At 47.8% G+C, this 17,745-nt stretch overlaps 2 annotated features.

The window, feature by feature from the left end:
• Positions 9,768 to 10,631: an enhancer, noted in NCBI's record as "NANOG-H3K4me1 hESC enhancer chr16:55020215-55021078 (GRCh37/hg19 assembly coordinates)". NCBI's record gives its function as "activates a minimal SCP1, AML or CMV promoter by ChIP-STARR-seq in naive H9 embryonic stem cells {active_cell/tissue: H9 hESC(naive)}" and the evidence as "EXISTENCE:reporter gene assay evidence [ECO:0000049][PMID:30033119]".
• Positions 10,632 to 11,495: an enhancer, noted in NCBI's record as "H3K4me1 hESC enhancer chr16:55021079-55021942 (GRCh37/hg19 assembly coordinates)". NCBI's record gives its function as "activates a minimal SCP1, AML or CMV promoter by ChIP-STARR-seq in naive H9 embryonic stem cells {active_cell/tissue: H9 hESC(naive)}" and the evidence as "EXISTENCE:reporter gene assay evidence [ECO:0000049][PMID:30033119]".

The raw sequence follows: 17,745 nt of genomic DNA on the forward strand, positions 1-17,745 counted from the left end.
GAAGTGGGAACTATTACTATTCCATTTCACAGGTATGAAAACTGAGACAGAGAGAGAGATGCAGTTAGAGCAGTAAGGACTGGAGCCTAAATTCCTCTCACCATCTATTCTTTCCCTCATAAACTTCCTCTGTAGTTCACTGTGGAGGGAGCTGCCAATTCATTTTCTTCATCATGGAGCCAGAAACACCGATGATCTGGAACTGTGTAACCCAACAGATTCTTTCTGTCTGTCTAGGGTACAATTGGCCCCAGGACCCTATGTAACCAGGGTTATTTTAGTTCTTCGCTGGGAAGAAAGCACCTGCCTCTTTGCATCTGCCAGAGCTGTCAGCTCTTCCTTTCTGTCATTTATGCAGCGTCTTACTCATTCAAAACATTTGTTCAGTATCCACTCATTCCAGTGTTAGGATGTAATCATGAATAACAATGTTGATAATGGTGGTGGCGATGCTGCTGCCGCCGCCGCCGCCGCCGCCACTGGTAACGATGATGAGGCAAAGGTGGTGGCGATGGTGATGATGACAGTACAGCCTCCTGGATGGGGTCCGATCAGTGCAAGACTAACACCTCCCTTGCACTAGACATTATGCTTCTTCTACACATACATCCTGTGCTCATGGTCAGGGGAGCTGATTTCCTGCTCCTTGTTAATTTAATGCCCTGGCAACCTGTTAGCATACACAGCTGTAAACAGGCGCCATCACCCTCATTACACCCTGGGAACTTCCATGTCTGTGTCCCCCAGAGCACGGGAGGCCCTATACCACAGCAGGGTAGAAATCAGGGATTCGGTCTCACACTTCAAGGTCTTATCTGCTTGTTACAGGGGCATGAGTGACAATGAGCAGTGGCTACATATATTCATCTCATAAAGGTAGGTTCTTACCCAGTCTCATCTGTGCTAGAGCCCCCTTAAAAGAGAAGCAGAAGTGGGGGCCGTTTCCTCTGGCCTTGCCACCTTATCAGCCTCTGCCAGACCAAAGGCTGGGGACTATGGTAAGTCCTCACTTAGCATTTGTAGGTTCTTGGAAACTGCAACTTTAAGCAAAACCACATATAACAAAACCAATTTTATTATAGGTAGTTGGAGTAATCAAGAGTGAAGTTCCTGGCACATTTCTGGCCACAGAAATATCACCAGACTTCTAAATAAAGACCAAAACATTCCAACATTATACGTTGAAATACATGTGAGCTACACATACACTTAAGAAAGGTTAATACAAACACATGAGATCATAATTTATCCGCTTATTCTTATTTCAGTTCAGGGTAGAGGGTGGCTGGAGCCTATCCCAGCAGCTCAGGGTGCCAGGTAGGAACCCACCCTGGATAGGATGCCATCTCATCCCAGGGTGACTGCTACACGCATCCACACTCACTCACACTGGGACCACACAGACGCACCAGTTCGTGGAACATGTGCAGCTTTGGGGTGTGGGAGGAAACCGGAGTACCTGGAGAAATCCCAGGCAGACGTGGGGAGAACGTGCAGACTCCACACAGACAGAGGCCCCAGCCAGGAATCCATTTTTTTTTCTCATCAACGTTATAACAAAATGACATTGAATGGACCATTATTCGAGGGGCTGCTGAACGGTGAACATGTGCGGCTCTTTAATGAAGGGCCGGCTACGTCTCAGAAAGGTCAAAAAAAGGAGAAATGAGGGTTGTGTAGGATCCCTCGCCTGGTCATTCCCTTGTTCCAGGAAGGCCTCTGAAGACTCAGATATTAGCAGGGATGGCCCCTGCTTTTCCTTCCACCCCATAAAACTGTGGATGATCTTTCTCTGCCTGATTCTCTCTCTCTCTCTCTCTTTTATACCTTTTCACATCTCTCCGTACAAGGCATTTTCAAGCTCTTCAAAATGATGACTACAACAGGTCCTCAAGAAACTCTGATTCCTACAGGCCAAGAGAAAGGGGTTCCACCCACAACTGTTTTCCTGTGTCTCTCATAGAGCCTCCAGCTTTGGCCAGACCCTCAGCTCTCCCAGCTCAGCCATTGCAAGCCCCCAAATGGGCCTTGGGATGGGCTCAAGTCCCATGAGTGAGGGTGAAGGTGGACACTCCATTCCGCTTCCTTCTCCCCATTCAAGAGACACACGCCAAAGTTCTTACTAGGTCACCTCCCAAGCCAGCAGAGCCCACTGCAGTGAGCATCTGGCTTCTTTGGAGACAGCTCAGTGACCCCCATGTAGAGGAGGGACTATTTCTCCTATTTGTGTGGCTTTGCGGCTGCCCACTGGGAAACGACTGCCACCTCCATTCTCCACTCTTATCGTGCTAAGAAGCGTTTCTGCTCTTTCTTCTCCTGCCTGAGGCTGGAGTCTACGACCCCTCCTGATAGGGACAGACACCAGTTCATTCTGCCAGGTATGTTTTCTTGCTTTATTCTCCCTTCTATCCCGTGAGACCAATTTTGTGCATTTGAAGAATCCAGGGCTCAGAGAAGTGAAGTAACTTTTCCAAGATCACCCAGCAAGTAAGCTGGGAGCAAGATTTCCAACCAAATATGCGGATGCTGCATAAGGTAGAGCAGTAGCAATTGTTCCAATAGATAAACCTCAGAATCTCATTGGTTTGACAAAGAAAAAAGTGACCAGTATGTCATGGTCCAGGGACTCAGGCACCTTCTCTCTTGTGGCTCTGTCCTTGGCAACGCTTGATTCCTGATGTCACTCTAGGGTCATTTCCGGTCCAGCCAGCCTGAAGTGGGAAGAGCATACAGGATCACACAGGGAAGGAGTTTCGGGGAGGTTTATATGCACCCCTGACCCTTTCCCTCTAAGGCCAGACCTCTCTTCCTTCCCGAGCAGCCTTAGAACCTTTCAGTAGGCTCCAGGAAGCCTCTACAGACGAACTGAAGCTGACAGCTAAGATGCAACTTTATTGCCTTCTTGATTTGAGTGGTCTCAGTCAACACACATTTCCTGGCTAGTTTGTTTTACCACAGGGAGGGGGAGGAGCGGGGGGGCGGTGGATAGAGGACACCTTAACTGTCAGGAAACATTACGAAAGGCTTTGAAATGGGCAGAAAAAAAAGTTGCTGGGTGTCCTGTTTAGATCACCTTTCTGGATTATCTCCACATTTCCTAGTCTTTGAGCTATTTTATAACTCTGAAAATTGTAGGAAAGCAAAATGCAAACAATTCTCGTCCATGGGAATGCAAAGACATTTTGTTAGGTCAGAATGCAACTGATTGATGCCCTGTGAATAGGTTATTTTTGCATCTATTTGTAACTTCATTTCAGTTTTCTCATTTGCCTGTGTGTGTGTGTTCTTTGAATTCTTTGAATTCTCCTTTGAAGAGATAGTAACATCTTATAGTTGCCTCATTAATTAATGAGTTAAATAAAATCTTTGACACCTGTTCATTTTATATTTGTGTGCGAGTCATGATTTTACTCTTTATATGCATCTTAAAAATCCTTTAACAACTAATAATTCCTAGAGGGAGGAGGAAAACCTATAAAACATCATACTTCCCCGCTTCTCAGGAGCCTCACACCCATCCTGGAAGACAGGCAGGACAAGGACTGCTAGTTCCATTTTGCAGTTAAGGAAGCTGAGACCCAGAGAGGGGACTGCCAGATACCAAAGACAACACTGTGAGAAATGGTGGAACTGAGAATTCAGACCTGGGTGTGTTTGATTCTAAAACCTGTATTCTTAACCACGGTGTCTCATTTCCCAACCAATTCTTCCTTGAGGAAATGGCATATTAGCACAACAGATATCCATACTTTTCCCATTTGGAAAATGACGAAACTGAGGCTCAGATAAGTTAAATGACTTAGAGATAAATCTGGGTCCAGAATCTGGTCCTTGAACCACTGTTTCCTGGTGTATCCTTAGGTAATACAAGTGAGTATCTTTTTTTTTTTTTTTTTTTTGAGATGGAGTCTCCCTCTGTCACCCAGGCTGGAACGCACTGGCACAGTCTCAGCTTAATGCAACCCCTGCCTCCCAGGTTCAAGTGATTCTCCTGCCTCGGCCTCCCGAGTAGCTGGGATTACAGGGGCATCACCATACCCTACTAATTTTTGGATTTTCAGTAGAGATGGGGTGTCTCCATGTTGGTCAGGCTGGTCTCATACTCCTGACCTCAAGTGACCCGGCTGCCTTGGCCTCCCAAAGTGCTGGGATTACAGGCGTGACCCACCACGCCCAGCCTCAAGTGAGTATAATTTTCTAGCTAGTATGTTTCTTGAACATCTGGTCTAGCTTTTGTTTTGGTGTGTGTGTGTGTGTGTGTGTGTGTGTGTGTGTGTGTGTGTGTGAAGATTGCTGGGCAGTTTTGGTTCCTAAAATGCTCTCTGAGCCTTTATTCATAGACACATAAGTGAGGTGGAACCCAAGTCAAAGCAGGCAGTATCTGCCTTGTTCGTTTCAGGCTGGGCCCTGGAGATGGACAGGGGCTGTAGAGCTGGCACAGCTGCTCTTCTGTGGTCATGGGAAGGTCATGGCCTGTAGAGGTTTCCTGCTCACAGGGCTCTGCCCAGGACTTGCTAAGGCCAAGCAGGGTCAGGCCGGGGAGGTGGAGGCGTCTGGAACTGCAGAAGACTCATGGGCTTTGGGGTCAGGCCAGCCTGGGTTCAAATCCTGCCTTGGCCGCTTATGAAATGTATGTTGGACCACGTTACTACATCTTTCTGGGTCTCTGTTTCTTCATCTGTAAGGGGGAGATCATCACCCTAACCTCACAGGGGGCCACAGTCCAGCCTCCCTCCCTTTCCACCAGGCCCCATGCCTGTGGCTGCTTCTGCCCACAAGAGGTGTGTTTGCCAGCCACACTCATCATATGGGCCTGCAGCCTCCTAGGCAGTCACCAGTGGTTGGTGTGGAAAGTGTGCAGAGGTCTCAGAACCATCTTACCATCTGTGCCTCTTTCCTCTCTCTGATAAGAAAGCTCACTCACTTCTGCAAGATGGCTGAGACTTGCCATAGCCCACACATCAAGTGGCATTGGTATTTGCTCACAGAGTGATTCAGACTCAGACAGAGGAACAGAGAACGGCAGAGCCAGGCCTAAAACCCAGGCCCTCTCCCTCCCAAGTTGGGACTCCCGAGCCTGGGCTGGGATCCCTGATAAGGTCGGTCAGGTTGTGGCTCAACCATCTTATTTATTTCTATGTCGCAGAGAAAATCTACCCCTAGAAAAGTCCAGGACCTGCCCCACTATTCAAGCTGGCTATTCTGGGCGGTTGCGTCACCTCTAGACCCTTGTTTTTGACTCCTGCAGGCCCAGGTCCTGCGGGAATCCTCTGTAAACTTTACCTCTCGTCAATGGTCTCCGTTCAGGAAAATTGGCTCCTTTGACACCGTTTTAGACAAACCATAATGTGTGTGGAGCTGAAAGAGGTTCTATTTACAAGTCTGCAGGAAATAGCCCTGGGCAGAGGATGGTAATTGTAGGGTGAAGGTCACCGGGGGCTCGGAGGGGAGAGAGGACCGCTCCAGGGCAATAGCAGCCCAGCCCGAGGAGGCCTAGGAAGCCCCTTCCCTAGAGCCGGGGGCAGGTGTGGTGAGCTCCAGTTAGCGGGTAGGCATTGTGGAGTCAAGGGCATCAGCGGTGCTGTAATGGGCAAGAGAGGTTTCAAGGTCTGCCTCTGCCTGCGGGACCTGCAGAAACAGGAGAAGATTTGGAAAAGGTGGGGAGGTCTTTCCTGTTGCCTGCTTCACACTCTCTCCCCAAATGCTCTTCCCCAAGTATTTAAATGGTTCACACTCTCTCTTCATTTGGCCTAGTTGTAAAGTGACTTGGTCAAATCTCCTGGCCCCTTAAGATTACAGCTGGACTTTGAACCTAGGTTCAAATATGACCTTTCTGATGGCCATTCTCAGCCCCGCCCTCCACCCCCCAGCCCGCCATCCCGGCCACTATTCCCCTAATCTACCTTATTCTTCTTCATGACATCCATCATCTTTTAACATATTGATTAATTTATTGGTGTACTGTCTGTCACTTCCTTCTACAACGTAAGATCCACGAGGGCATGGGGCTTTGGTTTGTACATCATTGTAATCCTAGTGCCTAGAACAATGCCTTTATAAATGGTGCTCACCAAGAGATGGGGAATGAATGAACCAAACAGCAAATGAATGAATGAATGGAGGGAATTACTTAGCCTTAATATCAAGGGCCCTTCAGGTTCCCTCCCACAAGGTGTACCATCTCCCAGGGTAGAGGCGAGTCCGTCATGCAGTAAACCTTGACCTCCAGGTCATGTGACCCACGGATCCTGTTCATTCAGAGCTCACACTGGTAGAAGTCAGGGAGTCACCCAGACAGCTGTCCGCAGGGCGGTCAGGGCAGAAGTTCTGAGGCCCAGGGAGTGGGTGATGTGTCAGAGATCACCCAAGATCAAGGTGTGACTGAGGTGAGGTTCCTAGCAGCCCTCTTGCTCTTGGTCCCCTGAGCCAAGCTCCCGCATGGATTCTCACTTAGCAGATAAAAAAATAGAGCAGGGAGCACACAGCCCACTGGCGTCCTCGCTTCAGAGTCCTGACGGGAGGTGGCCTTGGGCTGTGGGATTTAGATGTGCGGAGAAGGGCCCTTGGGGTCCCCTTGCTGCAAGGGGCCTAGAGAAGTGACATCATCACACTGATTTCTTCCAAGCTGTATCCTCAGCAGGACATCACTCTGACCAGGTTGGTCTTCGCTCCACTTATGGCTGTGTGACCAGTGCTGGTCACTTAGCCCCTGGGGCCTCCCAACTAATGGTGGTCATGACTCAAATTAGCCAGAAGAAAAGGGCTCCTGGGTGCGTTTGAACCCTCAGCAGCCAGTCCCCAGGAGAGACCAAGGAACAGGCTCTGCTTACCCACGGAGGAGGCCAGGCCCGTGAGAGGGTAGAGGCCAGTTACCTCAGTCTGGCCTCAGTATTTTTAGCATCTTCCCCCCTTCCCTCCCTCCCACAAGCCACTAGCCCACTCCTTGCCCAAATAACAGTCACCAAAATAGCCCTGGCAGTTGACTGAGGGGGTACTGGGAGGGCCCCTTCCCTCCTGCCAGTCAGGCAGGCGTGAGCAGAGGCCCTGGGGCTGGGTGAGACCCAGGCGGAGGCTGTTAATTGTACCTTTGGCCCGAATTAAAAAAAAAATAGCACTCCTTGAGGCTGATGGCAGTGCTGGTTCTGAGGAGCCAGGTTCCTGCGCTTGCGAGGGATGCCTTGGAGTTTGGACTCCCCCAGAAGGCAGCGGCCAAGTGGACAGACTGATCAGAGAGTGTTACAGGGGTCCTACAGACTGGGAGCCTGAGGGTCAGAGCCTATGCTCACCAACACCTCTTCAGGGAGACCGTCACTGACCACTCTGGCTAAAACAGTGTCCGGCAACTGGCCTGTCACCTGCTTCTTTTTCCTCCATAGCACTGGTCACTGCTCGATGTGACATTACTTGTCTGTTTGCACATTTATTTCTTGTCTCTCCTGCCAGGCAGGGAGCTGGTCTATTTGATCCCAGCCTGGTCCTCAGCACCTAGACTAATGCCTGGAGCTCAGGAAATTCAACATAATTCAGTGAGGAAGAAAACCACAGTGCCCAGTAGATCTGGCCAGTCCTGAACCTAGATTCAAATATGACCTTTCTGATCACCATTCTCAGCCTCCCCTTTGCCCCCTCTGCCGCCCAGTCCACTATTCCCCTAACCCGCCTTATTCTTCTTCATGGTATCTATCACCTTTGAACACATTAATTTATTGCGGTACTGTCTGTCTCTTCTTTCCACAATATAAGGAAGGAATGTCTCCTCGGCTTCCGCCATGCAGTGGAAAGCCAGAAGCAGAGAAGGAGAAGAAAGAAACAAGGTCCCCGACAGCGCCAGACTCCCCAAACCAGCCCCCAAACACCAGGAAGAACAGCCTTTCCCATGTGCCCCTCTATCTACCGACTTTAGAGACTACCCTGTGTCCTCATGACAGCCTGGGACAGCAGGGATAGTCCCTGTTTAATAACAATGAACAAAGCACTTTCTAATGGCTTGATTTATGTAACTAACAGGTAATTCTGGTTACTATTGCCATCTTATTGATGATGAAACTGACACTCTGAGAAATAAGGTGACTTGGTCTAATACCCTGACCCCTAAAGATGAGAGCTTGGATTTGAACCTAGGCAGCCTGGCCCCAGAGGCCCTGCTCAAAGTCTGCATGAACAGCCTGTTGTCTAAGGAGAATGCTGAAGTTTAGTTGTATGGACCTTCCCTTAGCCAGATGAGAATTTCCTCCTCCCACTTCTGTTCACGTCACCAGCAGCAGTGCCCCCACATCTCTGGAAGGGTTGCTACGTATGTGCATTAGTGCATTACCCTGTCACCTCCTTTGCTTTTCCTGGTCGTACTGTGATCATCCCATCTCATCCTTATTTTTCAGAGCTAGCAACAGAGGTGCAGAGAGGCTAAGTGACTCTCCTAAGGTCATTCGGAGTAGAATCTCCTGATTTCCTCAGCTTTCACAGTGCACCCACCCCTCTTGGCCTCTCTCTCTCCCACTCCCTGCCTCTCCACTGCTGTGACACAGGCCCAGCCTGCTGGAGCCCTGGGCCCTGCCTGGGGCTGGCAGGCTGTAGCCAGGAGCCCTCCTCACCCAGCACTGGGTGGCTGTTAAATGCCTTCTTGACTTTTTATGAGTTTTGTCACCCCACCACGTGCCAAGTTGCCTTTAAGGCAGTGCTATTAAGGCGAATCATCGAGATTAATAAATACATATATAAGGGGTTGGGCAGTGGAGAGTGTTCTTCAAGAGCCCAGGCTGCAGACAGAGGACACTGTGCCTGTGAGAACTGCAACCTCAGCTCGCGGCCTGTACGGCCCACCCTGGCCTGCTGGGCTTCTCCGAGAGTCAAGGGACCTGGATTCTAGAATCCCTTCCACACCTTTGATCCTTGGCCTCCTGATCTTGCCAATGGGAACATGCATCTGTACTTCCGTGATCTTCTGCACGGGTCTGGCTAGGGTCACAAGTTCTGGGACACAGGGTTTTAAGGCTGTGTCTGCAGGAGATGCTACTTTCACCAGGGGTTTCAGACGCTCGTATCTGGGGAATCCACAGACTCCTCGGGGTCCTCACTCACCCCACTCCCACTCTGCGTCAGCAGAACAGTTTCCCTTTGATGAGTTTCACACACACGGTCTCCCCAAGATTGTGTTTGAAGACAGAATCTCAGTAAATAAAAAACAAACTTGTGGGGAAAAAAACTGTTTATATTTTATTTTTAAATAGAGCAACACAGCAGCATACTACTAGAATAGGGATTGGCAAACCTCTTCTGCAAAAGGTCAGACAGTGGATATTTTGGGCTTTGCATGCTAGACGGTCTCTGGTAACTACTCAACCTGCTGTTGTGGCACAAAGGCAACCTTAGACAATATATGAGTGGCTGTGTTCCAACCAAACACTTTTTATGGACACTTAAATTTCATGTGGTTTTCACGTGCCAGAAGTATTACTCTTCTTTTAATTTTTTCCCCAATCATTTAGGAATTTGAAATCCATTCTCAGCCCACTGGCTATAAATAAACAGACAGCAGGCAGGACTGGCCGTGGGCCCCAGTTTTCTGACCCCCGTCGTAGTCGGAAAACCTGGATTTGAGTCCTTCTTGGTGGTCAGTTCACGGAGTGACTTTGAGCTTAGCTTCTTTAGCCTCTCTGGGACTCAGTTTCCCTGTCTGAGAAAAAATAGGGCCGAGGCCAAATGATCTCTGAAATCTTATTGCACTTTAAAACCTGATGGTGGAAATTTCAGAATTTTGCAAAGTGGATGGAAGGAGACACTTTTGCCGGGAATGAAGGAGGAAGCCTTCCGTTGCCCTAAAATCCCTTACCTGGGAAGAGAAAGGGGTGCTTTCTTGGCTATGCCTGGTTTTACTGTCCCCTGTGAGAGGTTAAGTAGATCTTGCGGTCTTCAAGAGGCCTGATGACCCACAGACAAAAGGTTTTTGGCTGAAACATTGGAAGCAGTCTCCCACCCCTTCCCAACTCCCAGCTGAGGCCCCTCACCATTCATTCCGCACCCCCTCCTGCTGCCTTGCTTAACAAAGACAAAGACAGCAGTTCACACTGTAATGTTCAAAATTGCTTGTTTCAGAACATCCCAGTAAACAAGCCCGTCTTTGTTTTAATCCCAGCCTAGCTTACTGTAGTTAATTATAGGAATTTGTGGCTATTTATGTGAACCGAAGACAGGCGAAAACATTCATTTGTAGGCCGTGTAAGTGGCGGGTGGGAATGGGCTCCCAGTACCGAGAGGACCTAGGTAGCATTTGTCCTAGGAGCCGTGCAAGGTAGTGAGAAGCCCAGGTGTGTAATTATTCCCTCTGCTCCCAAAAAGAGAGAAGGCTGCCATAGAAGGTGACACCTAATGACTGTTTTCAGCCCAACATGGGTAACGGGAAAAGCCCCATGTTTAAGGCAATTGCCTGAGCTGCGGGTCTTGCACCTGCCAGGTGAGCTGGGTTATTTATTTCTGGGCCTGTCCGCCGCCTGCCCCATGTTTCTGTCCCCAGTGGGTCTGGGGAGAAGGGAGCAGGGCCAAAGGTTCCCAGGGGCTTGCAGAGAGGGAAGGGGGGGCCGCCGTGGCTGGTGGGCATGGGTACCGCCTTTTCTTCCTCTTCTCCAGCCCGGGAGGAGCCACGGTTAGTGAGGAATGTTAACAAAGAGGAGACAGCACTGGCTAAACAGAGGCCCCACGACAATTCCTGGCCCAAACAAAGCTACCCCGGCCCCCACCCGCACGAGAAAACAAGCCAGGCCTTTGTGTACACTCAATAATTATTGCTTGCAATTACCCGAGTCAGGGCGGCCCGGCTGGGCTGGGGTGGCAGGAGTGGAGAGAGGCGCTGCTGAAAACTCCGCATCTTAAGGGGCACAGTACTTGCTGCTGGGGCCAATTCTCCAGGATGTTGCTAAACTGCCAGCCACTGGCCAGAAGAACCCCAAAAGGCCTGGGCATCCTATGCTGGACTCCGCATGGCCTGGACTTCTATTCTGAGCTATGCTGCTGGGAGCCCCACTGAGGCTCGGCCCACATCTCAGCCCAAAACCCTCCAGCCCCGTGCATTAGTAAGGCCACGGCCATGGTGGTTGTGCGCAGCTCTCTGTGCAGAACTCTCAGCCCCTAACCCCTGTTGACCATCTCTGAGCCTTCATGTGTCCCTCTCTCTGCTTCCTGGCCCCCAACCTTTTGCCCACTTCTTTTCCCCTTCTATCACCCCCTCCAAATCCGCCTACATTTGCATCTGAGAAGCCAAAGAAGTCTCTCAGTCCTGCTTAGCCTGTGCTAGTGTTCAACATCCATTCCTAGCTCTCTGCCTGTGCTCTCTAATTCTTCCTCCTTTATGACCCTTTATTCAAGCCTGTGCAGCCCCATCATCCAAGCCCCAGAGCCAGACCCTACCTCCTCCAGGAAGCCTCCCAGGACTGCTCTACTCAATGCTTACCTCTCCTTGCCGGACCTTTCACAAGTGAGTGATTCACTGTCTTGTAAGTGAGAACGTATGTATGTACCTATGTGTACATGAGTGTGGCTCTACCAACTCAGCTATGAGCTTAATTATAACAATCATTATAGAAATAATAACTGAACTCAACATTTACTGAGTGCCCATTATGTACCAGGGATAGCATTAGGTGTTTTCTAGGTATATATCATTTAAATCATATGATAATCTGAAGAGGTAGGTGCTATTATTTCCCCCATTTTATGCTTGAGGAACTGCTGCACAGAGAAGTTAAGTTACTTGTCCCAGGTCACAGAGCAGCAAGCAGAAGAGCTGAAGCCACTGGGGAGCTGGAGGTGGCACTGGACGGCTTATGAGAGCTGATCGGTCAGCCATTCCCATCTTTTCCCAACTCTGAATGCAATCACATTGGTGCCTTGAAACAGGTCACACTGGTGATATTTACACCACGGGAATCAGCAAATGCCCCAGTAAGAGCTTCCTCCCCTCTCCCCAGAAAGCCGGTTGTTACACACTGACCAGCACACTAGGGCCTGGACCTGCACTGTCTGTTTATAAGCTGGTGTTCCCTGCATTATAGCTTAGGGAGTCTGGGCATCTTCCCCACTGCCCTCCACACCACAGACAGTGCTGGGTGCTTAGGAATTGAGCTTGTTCATCTGTCCACCCCAAACAACAGGGATTTATTTCTGGGCTATTAGGTGAGAGGGAGTTTGGCTGGATGGCTGTAACTTGGATGGGGATAAAACCTCACCTTCCCCTGGCCCAAGTTTCCTTTGGTGCAAGGCTGTCCCTGTTATTCTTTTGTGAGCCCAGAGCCCCGGGCAGCCACGTCTCCACGTGGATAAGCATCCCCAGGCCTGACCTTGGCCAAGGCCCCTCACCTCTGCCCCGCTGCCAGGCAGAGCCGAGAACTGCAGACAGAGATCAATTAGAGACTAACTTCATCTTTGTTTCAAAAAAGCCAAGACAAGAAAAGCTGTGGATAATGTTAGAAAGAGTAAAAATTAGCCTTTTTCCAAGAGCCCCAGCAGGGTCGGGCCCGGAACGCCTGTCTCGTGAAGTTATTTTGGTTTCTCTGCCTGGTGGCTTGGAGCAATTTGCTGGGCACCCATCGGCCAGAGAGGCCAAGAGGCTCCTGCCATTGGGAGCTGCCTTTCTACACCGGCGTAATGATGGTTTCCGGGCAAGAGAGATCAATAGGGGATAAAAATATGTTTCCGTTACATCTGGACGCCCGCTCTGGGCGTCTCGCTGACTCAGAGACGCCCTGCAAGGAGCTGGAGTAGAAACCACTCAATACAACAGGTTCAGTAAAGCACTGCATAGAAAGGCTGTCTCTGACACCTCCTCAGGGCCTCAGAACCCCCAGATCCGAATGGGGAGACCACTGAGGAGACATCAGTGCAGGGGTGGACTTGATGTTCCCCACATTCTCACCTCCTGTCCTTGAAGAAGGTCCCTCTCAGCTGTCCACGGAGTCAGAGCAGTGAGGAAATGACCAGAGGGAGCCGGACGGCACTGCCTGCCCCTGATGCTGCACATTGCAGACCCCGGGGCTAAAGACATAGATTCTTCTGCTTTTAGGGAGTGCAAGGTCTGTTGAGGAGACAGTGGGAAAAACAGACAAATACCTTACAGAAAGTGAGCCCTGCAAGGACCACCAGAGACTCAAGGGCAGGGCCCCCGAATCAGCAAAACAAACAAACATCAAACAGACAAATAAATGCATGTAGTAATTTGTTATTACTTAGGTACCAGGCACTTTTTAAAAAATCCATTGCTTTACTTTTTAAAAAAATTTCAATAGGTTTTTGGGGAACAAGTGATGTTTGGTTGCATGAATAAGTTCTTTAGTGGTGATTTCTGAGATTTTGGTGCACCCATCACCTGAGCAGTGTACGCTGTACCCAATGTGAAGTTTTTTTTCCCTCATCCCCCTCCCAGTCTTTCTCCCTAGTCCCTAAAGTCCATTATATCATTCTTTCACCTTTGCAACCTCATAGGTTAGCTCCCACTTATGAGTGAGAACATACGATGTTTCATTTCCCATTCCCGAGTTACTTCACTTAGAATAATGGTCCCTAATTCCATCCAGGTTGCTGCAAATGCCGTTATTTTCTTCCTTTTTAGGGCTGAGTAGTATTCTATGGTATTTATATATTACAATTTTTTTATCCACTTGTTGACTGATGGGCATTTAGGCTGGGTACCGGCACTTGAAATACATCATCTCACTTAATGATTAAAGCAACTCTATGAAGTAATTATTATAATGACCCCATTTTACATATGAGGAGACTGAGACACAGAGATCTGCAGTAACATGGCCAACCAAAGCCACCTTATCATAAGCCGTGGAACCAGCATCAGCCTTTCTGCCTCCCGGAGCTGCAGTCTTAACCTTTACACCCCAGACCAAGGATTGACAAACTTTTTAATAAAGGACCAGATGGTAAATATTTTAAGCTTTGCAGGCTACATGGTCTCTGCTGTTGTGGCACCAAGGCAGCCATAGACAATACGTTAATGAATAGGCATGGCTCTGTTTCAATAAAAACTTTATTTACAAAAGCAAATGGCTGGCTGGATTTGGCCTACGGGCTGTAGTTCACCAACCCCTACTCTAGTGCACTAAGATATATTTTATTATGAAGATATATTGAAGGAATTCAATTTCTGGAGCTTGGAAGTCTCTTTGGTAATTGTGCCTTATTCAAAAGCAGTACTGGCTAGTAAAAATATACATGCAAGGCACATACATAATTTAATAATTTTAGTAATTACATTAGAAAGGAAAAAAGAAACAGGTAAAATTAATTTAATTTAATTTATTTGTTTTAATTTTTTTGGAGATGGAGTCTTGCTCTGTTGCCCAGGCTGGAGTGCAGTGGTCCAATCTCAGCTCCCGGTGCAACCTCCGCCCCCTGGGTTCAAGTGATTCTCCTGCCTCAGCCTCCTGAGTAACTGGGACTACAGGCACACACCATCATGCCCGGCTAAATAATTGTAATACTGTATTTTAATAAATAATTTTACTATTGTATTTGATTTAACCAAATAGCTCAGAATTATTATGGTTTCAACAGGTAATCAATATAATACATTATTAAAGAGATTTTTTACATTGTTTTATACCAAATATTGAAAATGCCATGTATATTTCTCCTCACAATACATCTCAGTCCAGACTTGCCTTATTTCAGGTACTCAATAGCCACACATGGCTAGCAGATACCTTATTGGACAGTTCACTATTAAGTAAAAATAAGGTATTTTGCTGGAATAAGATGAAATCTCTGTATAAGATAAAATATAAGAACAACAGAAATGAGAAAGAAATTCTTGGGTGAGTCAGAGTCTCTTCTTAGGTGAGTCAGGGTCTCCAGAGAAACAGAATCAATAGGGTATATATGTACATGGAAAGATATTATTATAAGGAATTGGTCCACACAATTAGGGAGGCTGAGAAGTCTAAAGGTCTTTAATTGGCAACCTGGGGTCCCAGGAGAGCCATGGAGTAGTTTCAGTCTGAGTCCCAAGGCCTGAGAACCAGGACAGCCAGTGTTTCAGTTCAAATCCAAAGGTGGGAAAAAAAGAAGCAATGTTCTAGGTTGAAGGCAGTCAGGCAGGAGGAGTTTCCTTTTACTTTCAGGAAGGTCAGCCCTTTCGTTGTATTCAAGCCTTCACCTGATTGGATGAGGCCCATCTGTATTAGAAAGGGCACTCTGCTCTATTCAGTGAACAGATCAAATGTTAAGCTCATCCAAAAACACCTTCACAGACATACCTGAAGTAATAACGGTAATATTGATCAACTATCTGGGCACTCGATGACCCAGTCAAATTAATGCTTAATATTAACCATCACAGTCAGGGAAGGCTCCCTGGAGGAAGAGTCACCCTAATTAAAACCTGGAAGCAGAAATGTTCACCATCCAAAGAGGTGTTGATCTCACTGTGTTGCCCAGGCTGGTCTTGAACTCCTAGCCCAAGTGATCCTCCTTCCTTGGCTTCCCAAAGTGCTGGGATTACTGGAATAAGCCACTGTGTGAAGCCAAAATCTGACTTTTTCTTTTTTCTCTTTTTTTGAGACAGGGTCTCGCTCTGTTGTCCAGGCTGGAGTGCAGTGGTATAATCTCAGCTCACTGCAACCTCCGCTTCCTGTGTTCAAGTGATTCTCGTGCCTCAGCCTGTTGAGTAGCTGTAATTACAGACATGTGCCTCCACATCCGGCTAATTTTTTTGTATTTTTTGTAGAGATGGGGTCTTGCCATGTTGGCCAGGCTGGTCTTGAATTCCTGGCTTCAAGTGATCCTCCTATCTCAGCCTCCCAAAATGTTGGGATTACAGGCATGAGCCACCGTGCCTGGCCGAGAATATGCCTTTTAACAAGAATCCGAGTGTATGCACTTCGGAGTTTGTGAACCTACATGGCTTAGGTTGTGGTTCCATCAGAAGGCTCTGAGCTGACTGCTCTTTACCACCTTCTCAATCCTGCCTCATGCCACGGCACTGTTGCTCCCTGAACCACCCTCTGCTTCCTGGTTTTTCTGCCCAGAGTTCTCAGAAGATTCTTTCTGTTGCTGCCACCAATAAGGCAAATTAAACAGATGCCCCAGACCCCATTTCTCGTTCCTTTGGTATTTTAAATATTCTCTATTTGGATCTCCTAGAGCAGTTTCAAATCTGTGCTTTTCTGTCCCAGGGCAAAAAATGATAATGTTTCATGCTGCTCGGGATGGCAGGTTTTTGCAGTGAGTGCTAAACAAGTGAAGACTGAGAGCCCACTGGCTGGACTTCAGAGGCACCCACCGTGGGTCCTGCCCATGGGGTGCACAGGCGCAAATGCGGGAGGAGGCATCGTACACAAGGGAGTGAAATTTTCTTCACAGAGTAAAGCATTTGATTGGTTTCAGTCCCTGGCAAGTTCCAAGGCTGCCTGACCTGCATTTGTCATCCTGTTCATTTTATTCCTATCCAAGGTGGGCTATTAAGCGCCCCAGATTGCTTCTGGGCAGGAGAGAGTCAGCTTTTGTTGCAGAATTCGAGGAGCATCCTCAGGTTCCTGGTTCAACATAAGACAGCAGTTCCAAGCACAGACTAAGCAACTTTCCAGCACAACTCTAGCACTTGCTAAAGATTTCTAAGGTTTATGATTTAAACTTCCTTTGTTTTTGTCTTCAATATCATTGCTCCATAGTCTAGTCTGCTTATAGCAGGAGTCCCAGAAAGATACTTAAAGGATGACTGAAGAGTGATTACACCAGTGATACACACCAGTGCGTTTTCTGAGTCCTGAGGCGTTTCTGGGAATTGTATAGGGAGTACTCCCAGAGAGTCTCATTGAATGTGATAATTATCATTAATTGACTGGATTTTATTTCACTGACACCAAAATTATTTTACATCTTACTTTTCCATTTTAAGATTTATTCTCCTTCAGGATAATATTCTAGGTAAAAAGAAAGAAATTGTTACTGTGATATTCCACAGCTAGATTTCCTGTTCAGATCTAGGGAATAAGCTTTGGCTGCACAAAAGAGCCAGTTATATAATAATAATAGTAATAATATTAATAGTGCACCTTTATTGAGCACCTACAATATGGCACCACAGTAAGCACTTCACAGGTATTAACCCACATTTTCCCCAGGACAGCCTATTGGTTGATTTTCTATCACACCCATTTTACAGATGAGAAAAATGAGGCATGGCAAGGTTAAGGGATTTATCCAAAGCCATGCAATCTGACAGTGGCAAATCCAAGATTTAGATTTAGAAGCAACTGATTCTGATGACCCTGTTCTTTATGATCCTGCTGTTCAATAATTTGTACTTTTTTTTTTTTTTTGAGATGGAGTCTCACTCTATCACCCAGGCTGAAGTGCAGTGGTGTGATCTCAGCTCACTGTAGCCTCCGCCTCCTGGGTTCAAGCAATTTTCTGGCCTCAGTCTCTGGAGGAGCTGGGATTACAGGTGCATGCCACCATGCCTGGCTAATTTTTTGTATTTTTAGTAGACTCAAGATTTCACCATGTTGGCCAGGCTGGTCTCGAACTCCTGACCTCAGGCAATCCTCCTGTCTCGGCCTCCCAAAGTGCTGGGATTACAGCATGAGCCACCATGCCTGGCTGATTTGTACAATTTTACTTGATCCTCACAACTTTTTTGTTTGTGTGTTTTTTTTTTTTTTTTTTTTGAGATGAAGCCTTGCTCTGTCACCCAGGCTGGAGTGCAGTAGTACAATCTTGGCTCACTGCAGCCTTCACCTCCCAGGT

Source organism: Homo sapiens, chromosome 16 (genome assembly GCF_000001405.40).
Source record: "Homo sapiens chromosome 16, GRCh38.p14 Primary Assembly".
NCBI classification, from domain to species: domain Eukaryota; kingdom Metazoa; phylum Chordata; class Mammalia; order Primates; family Hominidae; genus Homo; species Homo sapiens.